Source organism: Homo sapiens, chromosome 5 (assembly GCF_000001405.40).
Source record: "Homo sapiens chromosome 5, GRCh38.p14 Primary Assembly".
NCBI lineage: Eukaryota > Metazoa > Chordata > Mammalia > Primates > Hominidae > Homo > Homo sapiens.
In genome coordinates this window covers 7,260,991-7,279,518 of record NC_000005.10, presented here as the reverse complement: position 1 = coordinate 7,279,518, position 18,528 = coordinate 7,260,991, and the positions used below count along the sequence as shown (strand labels likewise).

Below are 18,528 nucleotides of genomic sequence, written 5' to 3'. Positions count from 1 at the left end.
GCAAATTTTTTTAAGTTATTCTCAAAATTGATGACAATTAAAACCTCTTGTTCAATTAAAAATAAACTGTCTATAGACTAAGATTTATTCCAAGATCGTAGATATCAAAGAAAGCGTTGAAGTAAGTTTTCTGTTAATTAAAGTTTGGAGTTTTGATTTTTATCCTTAGACATTCTAAACTATGTATATTGTTTTGAAAAACATAGGAGTCAACAAAAGCCACTTTTCTCTAGAGTTTGTGGGAATTTTCATTAGAGTCTGTTGAAGTACAGAAATCTCGTTTGTTCTTCATCTGGGTCTCCAAGCGGTGGACAGTGAAAGCCAAAATAAAATGTGACTGATTGCACCCCTGCGCAACAGAGATAGCAGTACACTGCCACATGCATCCTATTGGTAAAAGCCCAGCGGCTGGATGAATAACATGCGGGCATGCAGGGAATAACTTGTTTTCTTAGATAAAGGAAGTTGACATAAATAAAGGATGCATTTAAAACCTCTAACCAATCTTAGGTGGGAAAATTTGAGGGCTGCATTTTTTCACAGTCTTGGTGAGATGATATACACAAAGGAGTAGCAAAATTCTCCAATATTTATCATTAGCTCAGGGTCAAACTGTCCTATTTTTATTCAAAATGAGGAAGAAAGAGATACTGGGATCTTGGAAAAGCATAGGGTGGAGAGTCGGAAAGAGAGAGGTTTTGTTTGGAGAAACTGTTATTAACATAATTTAAGATCTATTATTTTTCAGTAACTATTCTCCCCCATGGCAAATAGGATAGTTTAGATTCATTCTTTATGGTTAATTCTCTCTGCAGTTCTGAAAGGAGGTGTTATTATTCCCACTTCACAGGTGAGCCACCTGAGGTTTAGCTTGATTGAATGCCTTGCTCAAGGTCACCCAGCCAGGTCATGCCAGAGTCAGATTTTGGCCCAGGTCTTCCAGACTGCTAGCTCTGGGGACTTTCCTCCAGATCCCACAGTGTTGCACTTCAAGTGGGCATCTCCCAGCAATATAGAAAATTAAGGCTTATGATCTATAATTTCTTTAAATGGTAAGTTCTAGTATTATCTCCAAAGTTTATAACTTACTTCACTTAAGAATTCAAGACACTTCAATTGAATTTTAATAATTTAGAATTTATTGGGCAAGAACCAGATTGAATGGTTCAATTACTAGATGAAAAAATATCCAGTAGAATGAGTTTTATCATATATATTACAAGGACATATGAGTTATATTTTTTTATTTTTATTTATTTTTATTTTTTACTTTTTGAGATGGAGTCTCACTCTGTCACCCAAGCTGGATTGCAGTGGCAGTGGTGTGATCTCAGCTCACTGCAACCTCTACCTCCCAGGTTCAAGCAATTCTCCTGCCTTGGCCTCCCGAGTAGCTGGGACTACAGGCAGGCATCACCATGCCTGGCTAATTTTTGTATTTTTAGTAGACACGGGGTTTCACAGTGTTGGCCAGGCTGGCCTCAAACTCCTGACCTCGGGTGATCTGCCTGCCTCTGCCTCCCAATGTGCTGGGATTACAGGTGTAACCCACCGTGCCTGGCTGAATTATAATTATATCCAATGTATTATATAATATAGAACACATGATATTATATATATATATGTATATATATACATGCATATTCAAAAGGTATACATATCCTTTGTATAAAATATATCCTTTAAAAAATTATAAACAAAATCATTTCCTTTTTTATTAGTCTTATTAATAACATTTTAGAAAAGTACTTTCTACTATTTAAGAAGAACTATCATATGGTTTCTATGTGTTCACATTTGGGAATCATTTCTTACACTTTTTTCCTTCAGACTGGACATTTTCTCATTAACTCTTCTTCTTAAGTTACCTCCTTTAATCCTCAGAAGAGCTGGTGGGAGAACAGAGAAGGGCCAGTCGAAAATGATGCTTTCTAACTTGCAAATCCTGCTGAAGATAGCACATGTGATAAGCATGGCCCTGTGAAAGATTCTGGCAAAGGCTGGGATTTCTCATGCCCTGGAAGTTGGGGTGTGGGGAGGGTGGAGTTTATTAAAAATACAGATTTTGGCCGGGCATAGTGGCTTACGCCTGTAATCCCAGCTCTTCGGGAGGCCAAGGCAGATGGATCACTTGAGGTCAGGTGTTTAGCCTGGCCAACATGGCAAAAGCCTGTCTCTACCAAAAATACAAAAATTAGCTGGGCGTGGTGGCACACACCTTTAGTCCCAGCTACTTGGGAGGCCTGAGGCAGAAGAGTGGCTTGAATCCAGGAGGCGGAGGTTGTAGTGATCCAAGATCACGCCATTGCACTCCAGTCTGGGCAACAGAGCAAGACTCCATCTCAAAAAAAAAAAATTAAATAAAAATTAAAATTAAAATTAAAAAATTTAAAAAATACAAAAAAACTCAGTGTTATATATGATGCATACTTATAATTCAAAAAATAACTTTTATTCTCATTAAGAATAGCTCATGTTAATTATAGATATTATAAAAAAGACAAAAAGAATTATAGAAAAGAAATAATCACCTATATATACATCATTTTAAAAAACCTTCTAATATATTTGGTGGAAATGATCCCAATCTCAAGGTTTTTTTTTGCTGTTCTTAAATACACACATATTTTATTATATGGCTGTTAATTAATATATGTTAACCTGCTGTAACAAATACTCCCCCTTAGTGTCTTAAAAAGGAATCACATTATTGGAACCTCACACAACAATCTGAATGAAGGTAGGGGTTTCAGGTTGTCAAGGGGCTCTGTTCCACACAGTCTTTCAGGGATCCAGGCCATGAAGATCTTGTTATTCAACGTGAGTTTGTCAGACTTGCTCTATCCTTGGTATTTTCACCCTCTGTCTGGTTAGAAAGTGGAAAAGGAGAATGTAGAAGACAAAACTCAATCTCACTGCCCTGGACTAGGAGGGACATACATGCCTCTTGTTCTTATTCCATTTAAATGAACTCAGAGCCACAGCCACATTTCACTGCAAGACAAGTTGAGGAATGCTGGACACTCTGTCCCATCTACAAGTCTAGTTTGCTACTGAAAAGGGGATAAGGGCCGGCCGGGCACAGTGGCTCACACCTGTAATCCCAGCACTTTGGGAGGCCAAGGTGGGTGGATCACGAGGTCAGGAGTTTGAGGCCAGCCTGGCCAACATTCATCGTCTGTACTAAAAATACAAAAATTAGCTCAGTATGTTGGCAGGTGCCTGTAATCCTAGCTACTCGGGAGGCTGAGGCAGGAGAATTGTTTGAACCTGGGGGGTGGAGGTTGCAGTGAGCTGAGATCATCCTGTTGCATTCCAGCCTGGGTAACAGGGTGAGACTCCATCTCAAAAAAAAAAAAAAAAAGAAAAAGAAAAAGGAGTTGAGACCTGATGGATACAGCAAAATTTCCACCATTGGCAACTTTGGTCATATTTTCACTGTTGAGTAATGTTCTGTAACCTACAAAAACCAGTTCATTGATAGAAACATAACCAGTACAGTATAAATAAAAAACATTTTATTTTACCAGCATTTTTACCTCTCTCTGATGTATCTTCTTCTTTTCCATTATCACACTGACAGGTTCCTTTCCAGCTGACAGAGCTTTTAAGCCAGTTACAGATTTCAGGCACTAACAAATGGTCTCTTTTAAAATGGTGTTTTAAAGGCAAGACCAATCTAATATAAAACAAAACAGTCAATATCATATTCAATTTAAAGCTATGGGACCTTCCTACTTCTCTCTCTTTCCCCTTCACCTTGTGTAACTAAGTTTTGTCTGTTTTATTAGTCTCAAAAACAGCTTTTCTGTATTGATGAAAAAAGGTACCCTTTTACGTTTATTCATTTTGTTAATATCTGTTTCTGTTTTCATTAATTCCTACTGTTCACATTCTTAGTGATTGTTTTATTGCTCTTTTTCAATTCCTTAGCTTGAAAATCTATTTCATACTTTGCATACTCATTAATTTCTTTATGAATGCATTCACAACTATAAATTTTTCCTTTAAACTCCAGGTTCATCTCACAGTTTCAAAAAGCTATTGTCATTCATATATATATGCACACACACATACACACACACACATACATATTGTTTGCTTTTAATTTCTGGTGTTATTGCACTTTGGTGCAATATTATTTCTCTGAAATTTATTATGCTCTGTAAACATGGCCTGTATGATATCAATGATTGGGAACTTTGAGCCCTTGGAGATCAGAAAACTTTAATATTCAACCCTAATACTGAAATTACATTTTGAGTATGGAATTCTAATCCAACTTATTTCTCTCAGAGATTTCAAAATGTTTTTATTGTCTTCTTATATATGTTGCTACGTTTCTGAATTCTAATGTTCATTTGGTGCATTTACATTATTGTGCTTTGTCTTTTTTTCTAGAAGTTGAAAAGATTTATATTTTATACTTGGTTTTCTGAAATTCAATTACATATGCCTACTTGATCATTTTTTAAAAAGTACTTTCTGATAAATTCTGAGAGCCCTTCGAAATTTCTGCCTTCTCCTCCCCTCTAGAGCCTTCCCTATTACTTCTCTTCATCCCGCTTATTCTCTGTACCCTCTATTCCCTCTTCTGAGCGGCACAGGAGATGAATGTTAGAATCTGTGAATCTGTTCATGATGCTTCTTAATATTTCTTTCTTACTTTGTCTTTATCCTCTCAGGTCACCTTCTGGAAGAATTCCTCACCCGAATCTTCTGGTCGGCTAATTTTTTCTTCAATTGTGTCCATTATGTTATTTAGCTGATCTGTTGCACTTTTAATTTGCGTGAGCAAGTTTTTAATTCTCACACTTCTTATTCACACGAGATCCGCCTTCAGCGTCTCTGAAGGTCCAGCATGTGGACTTCTCATGGCTGCCATCTGGTTGTTCAGTTATCTGTGTTTCACTGGGTGGGCGTCCTCCCCTCAGTTCTCAGGGTTGTTAGTTCTCAGTCTGCCCACCACGTTAGAATTTGGCTCTCATCTGTATGAGAAGCCCTGTTGCCTTCATTTGTAGGCTTCCTGGGAAAGGGAAGGAGGGCTTCTGGGTCCTTGGTTGTTTCCACAAGAGCAGGAGAAGCCTCGATCTGCTGTGAGCCGTGCCATCTTGGCGATGTGCCGTAATCCCTTCCAGCCTGGGGCCCTCTAACCATCTGAGGCACTTCCCTGCTTTCAGACCCAAGCTCTCACACCATCCAGATAGCCCCCTTACAACAACCTGGCCCAACAAGGTATGCAGCTGGCAGGCTGTGGAGCATGGGCAGGAGCAGCTGGAAGCCCCTTCTGGTGTCCCTTCCCAGGTTTTCAGGGCCCCTCCTGCCACCGCCTCTAATTAAGGTGTGATTTTGTGCTTTTCCCACAATTTCATAAATTTTTAGTTTTCTATTTCAACACAATTGATGTCTGCCTTAATACCTTTCAAGGATTTCTCATAGTTTTTAGAGCCAGTGGATGCTTTCTTGTTTTCCATCTTGTTTTGGATTTTAAAAAAAACTTTCAATCATTTCTAGAAACTTGGAGTATGAGAAGCTTCACTGTGGTATGGATATCCCTACCTCTGCTAGATAAAAGGAACCTGAACAAGTAAAATAGACAGGGGACAAGACAAACATGGGGAGTCCATGCCCTGGCTTTATTCATATTGAGATTTCTTGACTCTTGGAACATAGCTGTTGTTCACATGAAAAGAAAGCATTAAGGTGAGCCAAAGAAGATTTAAGATTTGACATTTCAAATACATAGCAAATTTATGAAAAGAAGAATATTCAGGGATAATGCAATTTCAATTGACTAAAAAGAATCAATGAGAGGTCAAGAAGGATCCATCTCCATCTGCCACATTTGAGCTGATAATCAATGTGTCACATATTAATTGAATATCCATCCACACATGTACAACACACTGAATCAGTTATAAAAGATAGGAAGTAAAATGTGTAACGATATAAAGGCATGTGAAGTTTAAGGCATCAAATACTGCATTGGCTAGGGTGTTGCTGGATACTCTATCCAGCAGACTCCAAACTGTACAATGCTTAATCACAGTAAGACTTTACTTGTCATTCACATGACAGTCCAAAGCTGGCCCATGAGGGCGGTCATTCCCTGTGGTCGTATCGGGATTTTGATTGAGAGAGGTCTGCCATGTTCCACATAAGGCTTTTATGGTGGTTTGGTTGTATCCATTCCAATCTGCGAGAAGGGTAAAGAGTATGACTAGCACCTGTGGGAAGTTTTGGAGACCAGGGCTGAGACATGGAAGTGGCACACATCACTTCTGTTCCAACTGTGCTATCTAGAACCTCATCACAAAGCCAGACTTAACTGCAAGGGAGGCTGGGAGATGTTGTCTAAATGTGTGCTCTAGAAGAAAATGAGGACAAGGATTCTGTGAACACTGGCAGTCACCGGCACAACTTGCTTTGAATAAAAGGAAAAAGTCCAATAAGGTTGTCCTCAAGGATAAGCTGAGGTTTGTTAGACAATAGTGCCACGTCAACAACAACAACAAAAACCCTAGTAAGTATAAGCCTACATGATTGGAACTAGGAGAAAGCCTACTACCTGGTGTGAATGCCAAAACTTGACTCTCACCTTTAAGCGTATTCCACCTTCTCCAAAGAAACAGTCTCTTTAAAGTCATCAGGTACCCCAGCAAAGGTAAGGAAGTGATAAGTTGAAGGTGGGAGCCTGTGTTCAAAAATGTGCTCCCATAACTGTGCTGCCATGACAACAGCAACAACAATAATTATCAACTCAAAGTTCTGGAGGCCAGAAGTCCAAAGTTGAGGTGTTGTCAGGGCCATGCTTCCTCTGAAGCCTCCAGGAGAGGATCTTTTCTTGCCTTTTCATCTTCCAGTAGCCACAGATTGTTCACTTCAATCTCCACCTGGACCCCACATGCTATCTTCCCTGTGTACCTGTGTCTTCACACGGTATTCTCCTGCGTGTGTATATGTGTGTGTCCACATGTTCTTCTTAGAAGGACATTGGTCATGTTACATTAAGGCCCATTTTAATGGTTCTATTCTTAACTTTATGACAACTGCAAAGAAGTCACATTCACAGGCACTGGGGCTTAGGTCTTTGACACATCTTTTTGAGGGGACATAATTCAATCCGTAACAGAGGGCAGCAAAGGGAACTCTGCTTTGCCAAGCAGAACTGTAGGTGATGGACCTGAGACCTTTCATCTTGCTAAGGTACCAATGAGTGACTCCTTTAGCCGATATATTTCCACAATGGAAAGTAAAGCTGTCTCAGGAGAAACCTGCCTCTGTAAGTCTGATAAGATCTGCAGTCTTTCTTCTGTCTCCTAGTTTGCCATGAAATGGCCTAAGAATCTCCCTTGCTACTTTGCATGATCAATAAATGTGATTTTATGAGGAGAATGTACAAAACTACAGCCTCTTTTCTCCTGGGACTTTTCTTCCTTCCTTCATTATTCTTGTCTAATTGTATCACTAGGATACAGACAAGATCTTTAGCTTTTGACTCAGCTATGACCAGCCAATTCTGTCTGCTGCTACCCCAGCAACTGTGGTCTCTGCCTCTAAATCTGCCAAGTCAAACAGCAGCCAGTGCAGCCTTCATCTGGGCTTGGTGTTTTATGGGTGTGAGAGCACCATAAGGAAGCTGAGCCGCAACCAGAAGAGGAATTATTGCCAGATTGACATTTTATCTGTGGGGCATTGAGTTATTTTAATGGATGTCATTAAATTTCCCTTCTCTTCATGCCTAATTTTTCAGGGAAGAGCACCTTCGGATCTGAGAATTGTTTCTTCAAGCCATGTGGCTGAAAAGAGAGCAGACATATTATTTTTACTGCCCTGACACCCAGCCCCCAACAACTGAAACTGGAAATATGCAAAATGCCTTGGACTCACCCATTGAATTGCTTGGTGGGGCGACGGGGACTTGCTATCCTAGTGCTGGGAGACGGGATGCAGTTGTTATGCCTGCTACACCGTACACACATCTTATGGTTCAGGCTTTTGGTGGAAAGCACATCAACTAAGGTAGTCATTTAAATATCAACTAATTTACTTTTTAATATTTCTCTGAGAAAAATCCTCTTTAATAATATGAGGAAAACATCTTTGTTTAAAAAAACACCCTCACTAAATTGTTTTGGCAGAAAGAAAAAAAGTACATTATAAAGCATTTAAGCAGTGAAGAAAAGTACCAAAATGGCGAAAGACAATATGAGTCTAAACCCCATCATCCGGGAAAACCAATCATTAATATGAAGTAAACACTACTTCATGTTTTTGTGCATATATACAAATGCTAGATAGGGGATGTATGAATAGTTAGACAAACAGGTAGAAATAAATACACTTTTATAATTATTTCTCTATGACTTTACCCATATTATACTTTATTGAATTAATATAATTTTATAGTATGTCTTAACACTTGTTGTCAATTTCATCTCATTGTTTACATTTTTCAAAATGCGCATTGTTATTCTGGGATGTTTATTCTTCTGTAAGAATTTTATAATTTTACTTTTGGAGTTAATGACTGCATATCATTGAGATTTCCCATTTATTAATGTTACTTGTCCTATGTTCGGTTCTTTTATCCTTTGGCAAAATTTTGCAGTATCATCCATTAAGTGCTTGTACATATTTTGTTTGTTGGGTTCATTCTTAAATATATTATCGTTGCTATTGTGAATATTTGTTCCTAGTATAATTTTAACAAATAATTTATGCTGTTATTGATGTTTATATGTTCATCTTATAAATTCATCTTGCTCTTTAATTTATCTGTTAACTCTCTCAGTTGTAGACTATTTTCAACAGTCTACAATTATGACACATTGGGTCCTTCTGTTTCACTCCTTACATACTCTTTTTCAGTCATATTATATATTATATCACATATTACTCAAATATTTAATACTAGTGAAGATAGAAAATATAATATTCTTTACTTAATGGGAATTCTCCCATTTACAAATGGTTTTTGCATGTGTTTTGATTAAATACTTCTCATCTTCTACTTTACTAAAGTTCTACATTTGTTAAAAATTGAAAGTGAGTTTTGAATTTTATTCCAATATTTACAATCGATATGTTCATTTGGTTGTTCTTTCGCTCATTGTTGTGGTGAATTATAATTGATAGACTTCCCACTGTTATGCCACTCTTTGTTTTTAGGAGACAAATCCTAGTGTGTCTTGAAGACATTTTTCATAATTATACTGCTGAATCCAATTTCCCCATTTAAATTTAGACTTTTTGTATCTACTTCATGGTACATATGGTATGTAATTTTCTTACTCAGTTCTTATTCAGAAATGTTATCAAGGTTGTATTAGCCTCATAAAAAGAAATTTTACTCTACTTTGTGGAACAGTTAGCATAAGGGAGGACTCATGCAATGAATGATTTACTCCCACACAGCCAGAAGCCTTCTGGCCCTGGTATCATTTTGGGGTGAAAGATAAGGTTAAGATAAAATGTTTTGCTCTCTATTCCAAATGTTTTTTAACGATGGTTAGGTTATCTAGGTAATCGCATCTTCTGGAATCTATTTAGCTATTTTTTAGCTTTCTAGAAAATTATCCATTTAGTCTGTAGTTATCTATATTGTACGATTCTATTTTCTATGCTTTCAGATGTATTGGCATCATGTTATTAAGTTATGGTTTTCATACTCTCCCCTCCAGGTGCAGCTGTGACCTTCCATGCATTCCTAACATTATTCATTTGTTAATGTAGGAGAAAGCCTAATACCTGGTCTGAATGCCAAAACATGACTCTCACCTTTAAGCTCATTCCACCTTCTACAAAGAAACAGTCTCTTTAAAGTCATCGGGCACCCAAGCAAAGATAAGGAAGTGATAAGTTGAAGGTGGGAGCCTGTGTTCAAAAATGGACTCCCGTAACTGTGCTGCCATAACAGCAGCAACAACAATAATTATCCTCTCACAGTTTTTGTCTTTTTCTTGATTACCTTTGTTAGTGTGTGTCCATTTTACAGTATTTTCAAAACACTAGATTTTGGTTTTAAATATTTCTGTTTTCTACTCCTGTTCTTTGTATGTTACTCATTCTGTTTACATCATTTCTTTCCTTCTATCATCTTTGGATTTAATTTGCTGTGCTTTTTCTTATTTCTTCAGTGGGAATGTTGAAGGGAGGTCCCCCGATCCGAGTCACGGCACCAAATTTCATGCGTGTCCGTGTGAAGAGACCACCAAACAGGCTTTGTGTGAGCAATAAAGCTTTTAATCACCTGGGTGCAGGTGGGCTGAGTCCGAAAAGAGAGTCAGCAAAGGGAGATAAGGGTGGGGCCATTTTATAGGATTTGGGTAGGTAAAGGAAAATTACAGTCAAAGGGGGTTTGTTCTCTGGCAGGCAGGAGTGGGGGTCGCAAGGTGCTCAGTGGGGGTGTTTTTGAGCCAGGATGAGCCAGGAAAAGGACTTTCACAAGGTAATGTCATCAGTTAAGGCAAGGACCGGCCATTTACACTTCTTTTGTGGTGGAATGTCATCAGTTAAGGTGGGGCAGGGCATATTCACTTCTTTTGTGATTCTTCAGTTACTTCCGGCCATCTGGGAGTATACGTGCAAGTCACAGGGGATGTGATGGCTTGGCTTGGGCTCAGAGGCCTGACATTCCTGCCTTCTTATATTAATAAGAAAAATAAAACAAAATAGTGTTGAAGTGTTAGGGTGGCGAAAATTTTTGGGGGGTGGTATGGAGAGAGAATGGGCGATGTTTCTCAGGGCTGCTTCGAGCGGGATTAGGGGCGGCGTGGGAACCTAGAGTGGGAGAGATTAAGCTGAAGGGAGGTCTTGTGGTAAGGGGTGATATTGTGGGACTGTTAGAAGAAACATTTGTCATATAGAATGATTGGTGATGGCCTAGATACGGTTTTGGATGAATTGAGAAACTACATGGAATAACAGAAGGAGAAAAACAGGTATAAAAGGTCTAAGAATTGGGACAACTCAGGATATCTGATTAGAGAGTGCCTAAGGAGATTCAGCATAGTCCTTTTAGCAAAGATTATTTATTTACTTCAAGAGTTAAGAGTGGCAGTTTGGGGATAGCACCAGGAGATATCAGCTGTGATGGCTTGGAAAAACAGTGTAAACCGGCAGTGTAAACAAGAGCAGGGCATGTATGAGTAGTTGAGAATGGTGATTAGGAGTATGACTAGACAGAAGATAGGAGGGATGACAAGTTTTTTGGGGCACAGTCTAAGTTGGTCTGGTGTCTGGAATGAGACTGGGGCCTAATAAAAAGGAGCATCTATACAGGAGCTTAAATGGGCTGTACCCTGTAGCATTCTGAGGACAGGCCTGACTTCTGAGAAGGGAAAGTGGTAAAAGTATTGTCCAGTCCTTTTTAAGTTGGTGGCTGAGCTTGGGGAGGTGTGTTTTTAAAAGACCTTTAGTCCGTTCTACTTTTCCTGAAGGCGGAGGACCGTAAGGGATATAAAGGTTTCACTGAATACTAAGAGCCTGAAAAACTGCTTGGCTGATTTGACTAATGAAGGCTGGTCTGTTATCAGACTGTATAGAGGTGGGAAGGCTAAACTGAGGAATTATGTCTGACAGAAGGGAAGAAATGACTGTGGTGACCTTCTCAGACCCTGTAGGAAAGGCCTGTACCTATCCAGTGGAAGTGTCTACCTAGACTAAGAGGTATTTTAGCTATCTGACTCAGGGCATGTTGAGTAAAGCTAATTTGCCAGTCCTGGGTGGGGGCAAATCTACAAGCTTGATGTGTAGGGAAGGCAGGGGGCCTGAATAATCCCTGAGGAGTAGTGGAATAGCAGATGGAACACAGAGAAGTTATTTCCTTGAGGATAGATTTCCATGATGGAAAGGAAATGAGAGGTTCTAAGAGGCGAGCTAGTGGCTTGTACTATAGTATAACCTGCCTTTGCTGGTGTGTGGCGATTAGGCCTGGTGGAACCGCCATCAATAAATCAAGCGTGATCAGGGTGAGGAACAGGAAGGAAGGAAATTTGGGGAAATGGGGTGAATATCAGGTGGATCAGAGAGATACAGTCATGGGGGTCAGGTGTGGTATCAGGAATAATGTGGGAGGCCAGATTGAAGTCTGGGCCAGGAACAACGGTAATTGTGGGAGACTCAACAAAGAGTGAGTACAGCTGAAGGAGCCGGGGAGCAGAAAGTATATGCATCAGGTATGAGGAAGAAAATAGATTTTGGAAGTTATGAGAACTGTAGAGAGTGAGTTGAGCATAGTTTGTGATTTTGAGGGCCTCTAAAATATTAAAGCAGCGGCAGCTGCTGCATGCAGACATGAGGGCTAGGCTAAAACAGTAAGGTCAAGTTGTTTGGACAGAAAGGCTACAGGGCGCGGTCCTGACTCTTGTGTAAGAATTCTGACCGCACTAACCATGCCTAGGAAGGAAAGAAGTTGTTTTGTAGAAGGTGTTTGGGTTTGAGAGATCAGTCGTACACGATTGGCAGGGAGAGCACGTGTGTTTTTACGAGAATTATGCCGAGATAGGTAACAGATGAAGAAGAAATTTGGGCTTGATTGAAGTAATGGGGGCTGTCTGTGAAGCTTGGCGGCAGTACAGCCTAGGTAATTTGCTGAGCTTGATGGGTGTCAGGGTCAGTCCAAGTGAAAGCAAAGAGAGGCTGGGATGAAGGGTGCAAAGGAATAGTAAAGAAAGCATGTTTGAGATCTAGAACAGAATAATGGGTTGTAGAGGCAGGTATTAAGGATAGGAGAGTATATGGGTTTGGCACCACGGGGTGGATAGGCAAAACAATTTGGTTGATAAGGCGCAGATCCTGAACTTAACTTGTAAGGCTTGTCTGGTTTTAAGACAGGTAAAATGGGGGAATTGTAAGGAGAGTTTGTAGGCTTTAAAAGACCATGCTGTAGCAGGCAAGTGATAACAGGCTTTAATCTTTTTAAAGCGTGCTGTGGGATGGGATATTGGCGTTGAGTGGGGTAAGGGTGATTAGGTTTTAATGAGATGGTAAGGGGTGCATGATCGGTTGCCAAGGAGGGAGTAGAGGTGTCTTATACTTGTGGGTTAAGGTGGGGGGATACAAGAGGAGGACGCAAAGGAGGCTTTGGATTGGGAAGAAGGGCGGCAATGAGATGCAGCTGTAGTCCAGGAATAGTCAGGGAAGCAGATAATTTAGTTAAAGTGTCTCGGCCTAATAAGGGAACTGGGCAGGTGGGGATAACTAAAAAGGAGTGCTTAAAAGAGTATTGTCTAAGTTGGCACAGAGTTGGGGAGTTTTAAGAGGTTTAGAAGCCTGGCCGTCAATACCCACAACAGTTATGGAGGCAAGGGAAACAGGCCCTTGAAAAGAAGGTAATGTGGAGTGGGTAGCCTCCGTATTGATTAAGAGGGGACGGGCTCACCTTCCACTGTGAGAGTTACCTGAAGCTCGGCGTCCGTGATGGTCTACGGGGCTTCCGAGGCCATCGGGCAGTGTCAGTCTTCAGCCGCTAAGCCGAGAAGATCTGTGAAGGAGTCAGTCAGAGAGCCTTGGGCCAGAGTTCCAGGGGCTCTGGGAGTGGCTTCCAGGTGAGTTGAACAGTCTGATTTTCAGTGGGGTCCCACACAGATGGGACGCGGCTTAGGAGGAATCCTGGGCTGCGGGCATTCCTTGGCCCAGTGGCCAGATTTCCAGCACATGTAGCAAGCTCCTGTGGGAGGAGGTTCTGGAGGAACGCCTGGCCGCTGCGGTTCAGGCGTTTGGAAGTTCTTGTGTGCTGGAGATGTGGCTGGGGTTTGTCTCACAGTGGAGGCAAGGAATTGCAACTTTTTTCTATAATTGTACACCTTGAAGGTGAGGTTAATTAGATCCTGTTGTGGGGTTTGAGGGCCGGAATTTAATTTTTGGAGTTTTATTTAATGTCGGGAGCAGATTGGGTAATAAAATGTGTTTTGAGAATAAGACGGCCTTTTGACTTTTTAGGGTCTAGGGCTGTAAAGTGTCTCATGGTTGCTGCCAAACAAGTCATGAACTGGGCTGGATTTTTATATTTGATGAAAAAGAGCCTAAACACTATCTGATTTGGGATGAAGAAAAAGGAGCATTAAATTTGACTATGCCTTTGGCTCCAGCCACCTTTTTAAGAGTAAATGCTGGGCAGGTGGGGGAGGGCTAGTCATGGAAAGAAACTGTAAGCCCGACCAGGTGTGAGGAGGGGAGGTGATAAAAAGATTATAGGGTGGAGGAGCGGAGGCTGAGGAAGAATTGGGACCTAGCTCGGCCTGGCGAGGAGGGAAGAGGTCAGATGGGTCTGTAGAAAAGGAAGATTAGAAAGACTCAGCGACGCTTGGGGTTGGGACTGAGGGGACAGGCGGGAGGGAAAGAAGGAAGATTTGGGAAGAGTTGCACTGGGCACAGAGACTAGGAAGGGACTGATGTGTAAAAGAATGCCTGGATGTCAGGCACCTCAGACCATTTGCCTATTTTACAACAAGAATTATTTAGATCTTGCAGGATGGAAAAATTCAAAGTGCCATTTTCTGGCTATTTGGAACTACTGTTGAGTTTGTATTGGGGTCAAGTGGCATTGCAGAAGAAAATAAGGCCTGTAGGTTTTAGGTCACGTGTGAGTTGAAGAGGTTTTAAGTTTTTGTGAACACAGGCCAAGGGAGTAGAAGGAGGAATGGAGGGTGGAAGGTTGCCTATAGTGAAGGAAGCAAGCCTAGAGAAAAGAGAGAGTAGAGAAACAGAGGGGAGGGGTTCGGGGGTTCTTACCTTCCAGAAAAGTGGGAAAAGGGGTTGGGGTGCAGAGATAAGAGGTCAGGGCATGGAAATAAGGGATTGGGGCACAGAGATAAGAGGTTGGGGTGTGGAAATAAGGGATTGGGGCACAGAGATAAGAGGTTGGTGCGTGGAAATAAGGGATTGGGGGTTATTGCCTGGTAGAAAAGCGGGACTTGCCGCTAAGGGTGAAGGAGAAGGGGTTGAGGGGTACTTGCCCCTCTCCCAGAAAAGCAAAGAAGGGGTAGAGACAAGGAGAGAAGGGGTTGTGGTACTTGCCCCTTCCCCAGAAAAGCGGGACTTGCCGCTAAGGGTGAAGGACCAAGGCAGGCATCCCTGCGTGGTCTGACACCCTTGAAACATGGGTGTATAATCAGAGAGGCGTCCCTGCAATGATTAAACACCAAGGGGAGGCTGCCTTCCCAGTCCGTGACCGGCGCCGGAGTTTTGGGCCCACGGATAAAACGTGTCTCCTTTGTCTCTCCCAGAAAATTAAAGGAATTGAAATTAAGAGAAGGGAGAGATTGAAGAGTGGAAAGGAGAAAGTGGTTGAGGGACAGTGAGAGAGGTTGGAGAAGAGAGTAAGAAGAGGCCGCTTATCTGATTTAAAATTGGTGAGATGTTCCTTGGGCTGGTTGGTCTGAGGACCTGAGGTCATAGGTGGATCTTTCTCACGGAGCAAAGAACAGGAGTACAGGGGATTGATCTCCCAAGGGAGGTCCCCCGATCTGAGTCACGGCACCAAATTTCACACATATCCATGTGAAGAGACCACCAAACAGGCTTTGTGTGAGCAATAAAGCTTTTAATCACCTGGGTGCAGGTGGGCTGAGTCCAAAAAGAGAGTCAGCGAAGGGAGATAAGGGTGGGGCCATTTTATAGGATTTGGGTAGGTAAAGAAAAATTACAGTCAAAGGGGGTTTGTTCTCTGGCAGGCAGGAGTGGGGGTCGCAAGGTGCTCAGTGGGGATGATTTTTGAGCCAGGATGAGCCAGGAAAAGGACTTTCACAAGGTAATGTCATCAGTTAAGGCAAGGACTGGCCATTTACACTTCTTTTGTGGTGGAATGTCATCAGTTAAGGTGGGGCAGGGCATGTTCACTTCTTTTGTGATTCTTCAGTTACTTCCGGCCATCTGGGAGTATACATGCAAGTCACAGGGGATGCGATGGCTTGGCTTGGGCTCAGAGGCCTGACACATTGATTTACAGCCTTTCTTGTTTCATAATCTTGCAATATTTAAGTCTTTAAATTTCCCTCTAACCATGCCTTTAATTTCAAGCCACATTTTGGTATGTACTGGCTTACTGTCATTCAGTTTAAAATGCTTCTTTAACCTTCTATTGTAATTTTGGTGGGGACATTAGATATTTAGAAGTATAGTGCTTAATTTCCAACTGTGAAGATACCCTAGTTATCTTTTTTGTTATATTTAATTTAACTTCAATGGCATTAAATAACATGGTTCTAGATTATTTCACTTAAGTCTGAAAACATGAATTCAATCCTTAAAAATTTACTAATGCTTCCTTTATGGCTCAGCGTATGCACAGTTTTGGCAAATTGTTTGCATGCACATGAAAAGGTTATATTCTAAAGTTGTTGAGTAAAAGTCTATATACATTGTCTTCAGATCAAATTTGTTAATCTTGTTCAAAATTTTAATATTATGTTAATTTTTTCTGCTTATTTGGGTGTGTTAAAAGCATTTTTCTTCTTATTCTATCAGGCATTTTGCTTATCTTTTTAGTTCTGGTAAATTTTGCTTATGTTTTCGAGATATAAGCCTATACAATTCTTATGTATTCTTAATTTTTGAACTTTTATTATTGTGAAATATCTCCCTTTATTTCTAGTAAGGCTTGTTGTTTTAAAGTCCATTGTGTTTCACGAGTGGAGCTACACCATCTTGCTGTATGTGAACCGTATCTTTTTTCATCATTTTTCTGAGTTTCTTTTGTTGTGTTTCTATAAATTGCATTTAATTGGCATGCTTTTTTTCTAATGTGTGTATCATATTTTCAAGTTGTAACTTTCATGCGCGTCCGTGTGAAGAGACCATCAAACAGGTTTTGTGTGAGCAATAAAGCTTTTAATCACCTGGGTGCAGGCAGGCTGAGTCCGAAAAGAGTCAGCGAAGGGAGATAGGGGTGGGGCCATTTTATAGGATGTGAGTAGATAAAGGAAAATTATAGTCAAAGGGGGTTGTTCTCTGGCAGGCAGAGTGGGGGTCACAAGGTGCTCAGTAGGGGAGCTTTTGAGCCAGGATGAGCCAGGAGAAGGAATTTCACAAGACAATGTCATCAGTTAAGGCAGGAACAGGCCATTTTCACTTCTTTTGTGGTGGAATGTCATCAGTTAAGGCAGGAACCGGCCATCTGGATGTGTACGTGCAGGTCACAGGGGATATGATGGCTTAGCTTGGGCTCAGAGGCCTGACAGTAACATGTACCACAACTTCATTCTTTTTTACTGTCAAATATTTCATTTTATTTATCCATTCATCAGTTGATTACTATTATTACTATTTGCATAATATATATTTTCCATGATTTTGCTTTCATCCTATTTGTATACTTGAATTAAAATATGGCTACCCTAGACAGCATTAATAGGATCTTACTTTTTTTATCCAATCTGACATAATCCCTGCCTTTTGATTTGCTTATTTTATCCATTCACATTTAATGTTATTATTAATATTGTTGGATTTATGTCTGCCATTTTACATTTTGTTTTCTATACATCGTCTTTTTTTTTCTCTAGTTTACCCTTACTACCGTCTTTTGAATTAAGTGACTATTTTAAGGCAATAATGTAATTCTTTTGACAATCTTTTCACTATATTTTTTGAGTTAATTTCTTCCTGGTTGTTCTAGGGATGATAATATGCATATTAACTTGTCAAAATTAACTTCAGATTTATACTAAATTAATTGTAAGAAAATACATAAATGCTATTTATATGCCTATTTCTTTTCTTTTTCTGTGTTATTACTATTATGTCTATTATATCTATAGGTGTTACAATTGTGACAGAACACTATTACAGCTCCTGCTGCATAATTTTATGTCTTTTAAAGAAGGTTAGGGAAGAAAAAAAGAGAAAAGCTGTACTTAAAGAGTTGTTAAATAAATGAGTCAAAGACAGCTCTTGTATGTTGGCCCTGTTGTGTTTACTTCATCATGGCAGCCTGAGACGTTTAGTGGAAAATTTCTTTTACACAGGTTTTAATTATAGCCCAAGGAAGCAAAAATGTGGGCATTTAGAGCCTTCCTTTTCTGAATAACCCACAAAACTATGCCCAACACCTACTTGTAATAGGTAAAGTAAGCCTTGGGCAATAAAAACCCCAAACCACTGCTGCCTTGGATTTCTCTGACCCGGAGACCCTCCCTCTCATCATCCTGCTGAGCAATAGCCTCTAGATAAGTGAGCACTCTCCCCGGTTCCCCCACTCCTGCAGGAATCCCTGTGTACCCCTCCCCTCCTGGGCTGTGGCTCCCTGGCATTGTCTTTAGAAGGTCTCAGGCTCTGAGGAATTTTCCTCTCCCAGGCAATCCTCTCAAAGCAGCACTGAAATAAAGCTTGTTGTGCTTTACTGCCACCTCGTGTTCATATATTTTTCCTTGCTAGGCCCCAAATCCCTCAAACTCTCTGCAAGAGTTTTCGTGTTAGACTTCGTATTTACCTTTGTGGCTTTCTCCATTGTTTTCTTTCGATTTCAAGTTACCATTTGGTATCATTTCTTCACCCCAATATAGCTTTGGTCCCAAACACATCCTT

The 18,528-nt window shown here is 40.5% G+C and overlaps 1 long non-coding RNA gene across 4 annotated transcripts, besides 5 other annotated features; it reads right to left on the bottom strand.

Moving 5' to 3' along the window:
• Nucleotides 1-1,775: 1,775 nt before the first annotated feature.
• LOC105374643 (uncharacterized) lies at nt 1,776-6,724 on the bottom strand. 4 transcript variants are annotated; one of them, XR_925749.3, is made up of 4 exons: nt 6,599-6,724; nt 3,540-3,679; nt 2,723-2,866; nt 1,776-1,948 (listed from the first exon to the last, which is right to left on the bottom strand). It is a non-coding gene; the product is annotated as an uncharacterized LOC105374643 (long non-coding RNA). The 4 variants fall into 4 exon arrangements; XR_925750.3 differs by having other exon boundaries at nt 1,776-1,889; XR_925751.3 differs by lacking the exon at nt 2,723-2,866 and having other exon boundaries at nt 1,776-1,945.
• Nucleotides 10,358-11,209: an enhancer, noted in NCBI's record as "OCT4-NANOG-H3K27ac hESC enhancer chr5:7268423-7269274 (GRCh37/hg19 assembly coordinates)". NCBI's record gives its function as "activates a minimal SCP1, AML or CMV promoter by ChIP-STARR-seq in naive H9 embryonic stem cells {active_cell/tissue: H9 hESC(naive)}" and the evidence as "EXISTENCE:reporter gene assay evidence [ECO:0000049][PMID:30033119]".
• Nucleotides 11,210-12,060: an enhancer, noted in NCBI's record as "NANOG-H3K27ac hESC enhancer chr5:7267572-7268422 (GRCh37/hg19 assembly coordinates)". NCBI's record gives its function as "activates a minimal SCP1, AML or CMV promoter by ChIP-STARR-seq in naive H9 embryonic stem cells {active_cell/tissue: H9 hESC(naive)}" and the evidence as "EXISTENCE:reporter gene assay evidence [ECO:0000049][PMID:30033119]".
• Nucleotides 15,408-16,175: an enhancer, noted in NCBI's record as "OCT4-NANOG-H3K27ac-H3K4me1 hESC enhancer chr5:7263457-7264224 (GRCh37/hg19 assembly coordinates)". NCBI's record gives its function as "activates a minimal SCP1, AML or CMV promoter by ChIP-STARR-seq in naive and primed H9 embryonic stem cells {active_cell/tissue: H9 hESC(naive and primed)}" and the evidence as "EXISTENCE:reporter gene assay evidence [ECO:0000049][PMID:30033119]".
• Nucleotides 16,349-16,897: an enhancer, noted in NCBI's record as "OCT4-NANOG-H3K27ac hESC enhancer chr5:7262735-7263283 (GRCh37/hg19 assembly coordinates)". NCBI's record gives its function as "activates a minimal SCP1, AML or CMV promoter by ChIP-STARR-seq in primed H9 embryonic stem cells {active_cell/tissue: H9 hESC(primed)}" and the evidence as "EXISTENCE:reporter gene assay evidence [ECO:0000049][PMID:30033119]".
• Nucleotides 16,898-17,446: an enhancer, noted in NCBI's record as "OCT4-NANOG-H3K27ac hESC enhancer chr5:7262186-7262734 (GRCh37/hg19 assembly coordinates)". NCBI's record gives its function as "activates a minimal SCP1, AML or CMV promoter by ChIP-STARR-seq in naive and primed H9 embryonic stem cells {active_cell/tissue: H9 hESC(naive and primed)}" and the evidence as "EXISTENCE:reporter gene assay evidence [ECO:0000049][PMID:30033119]".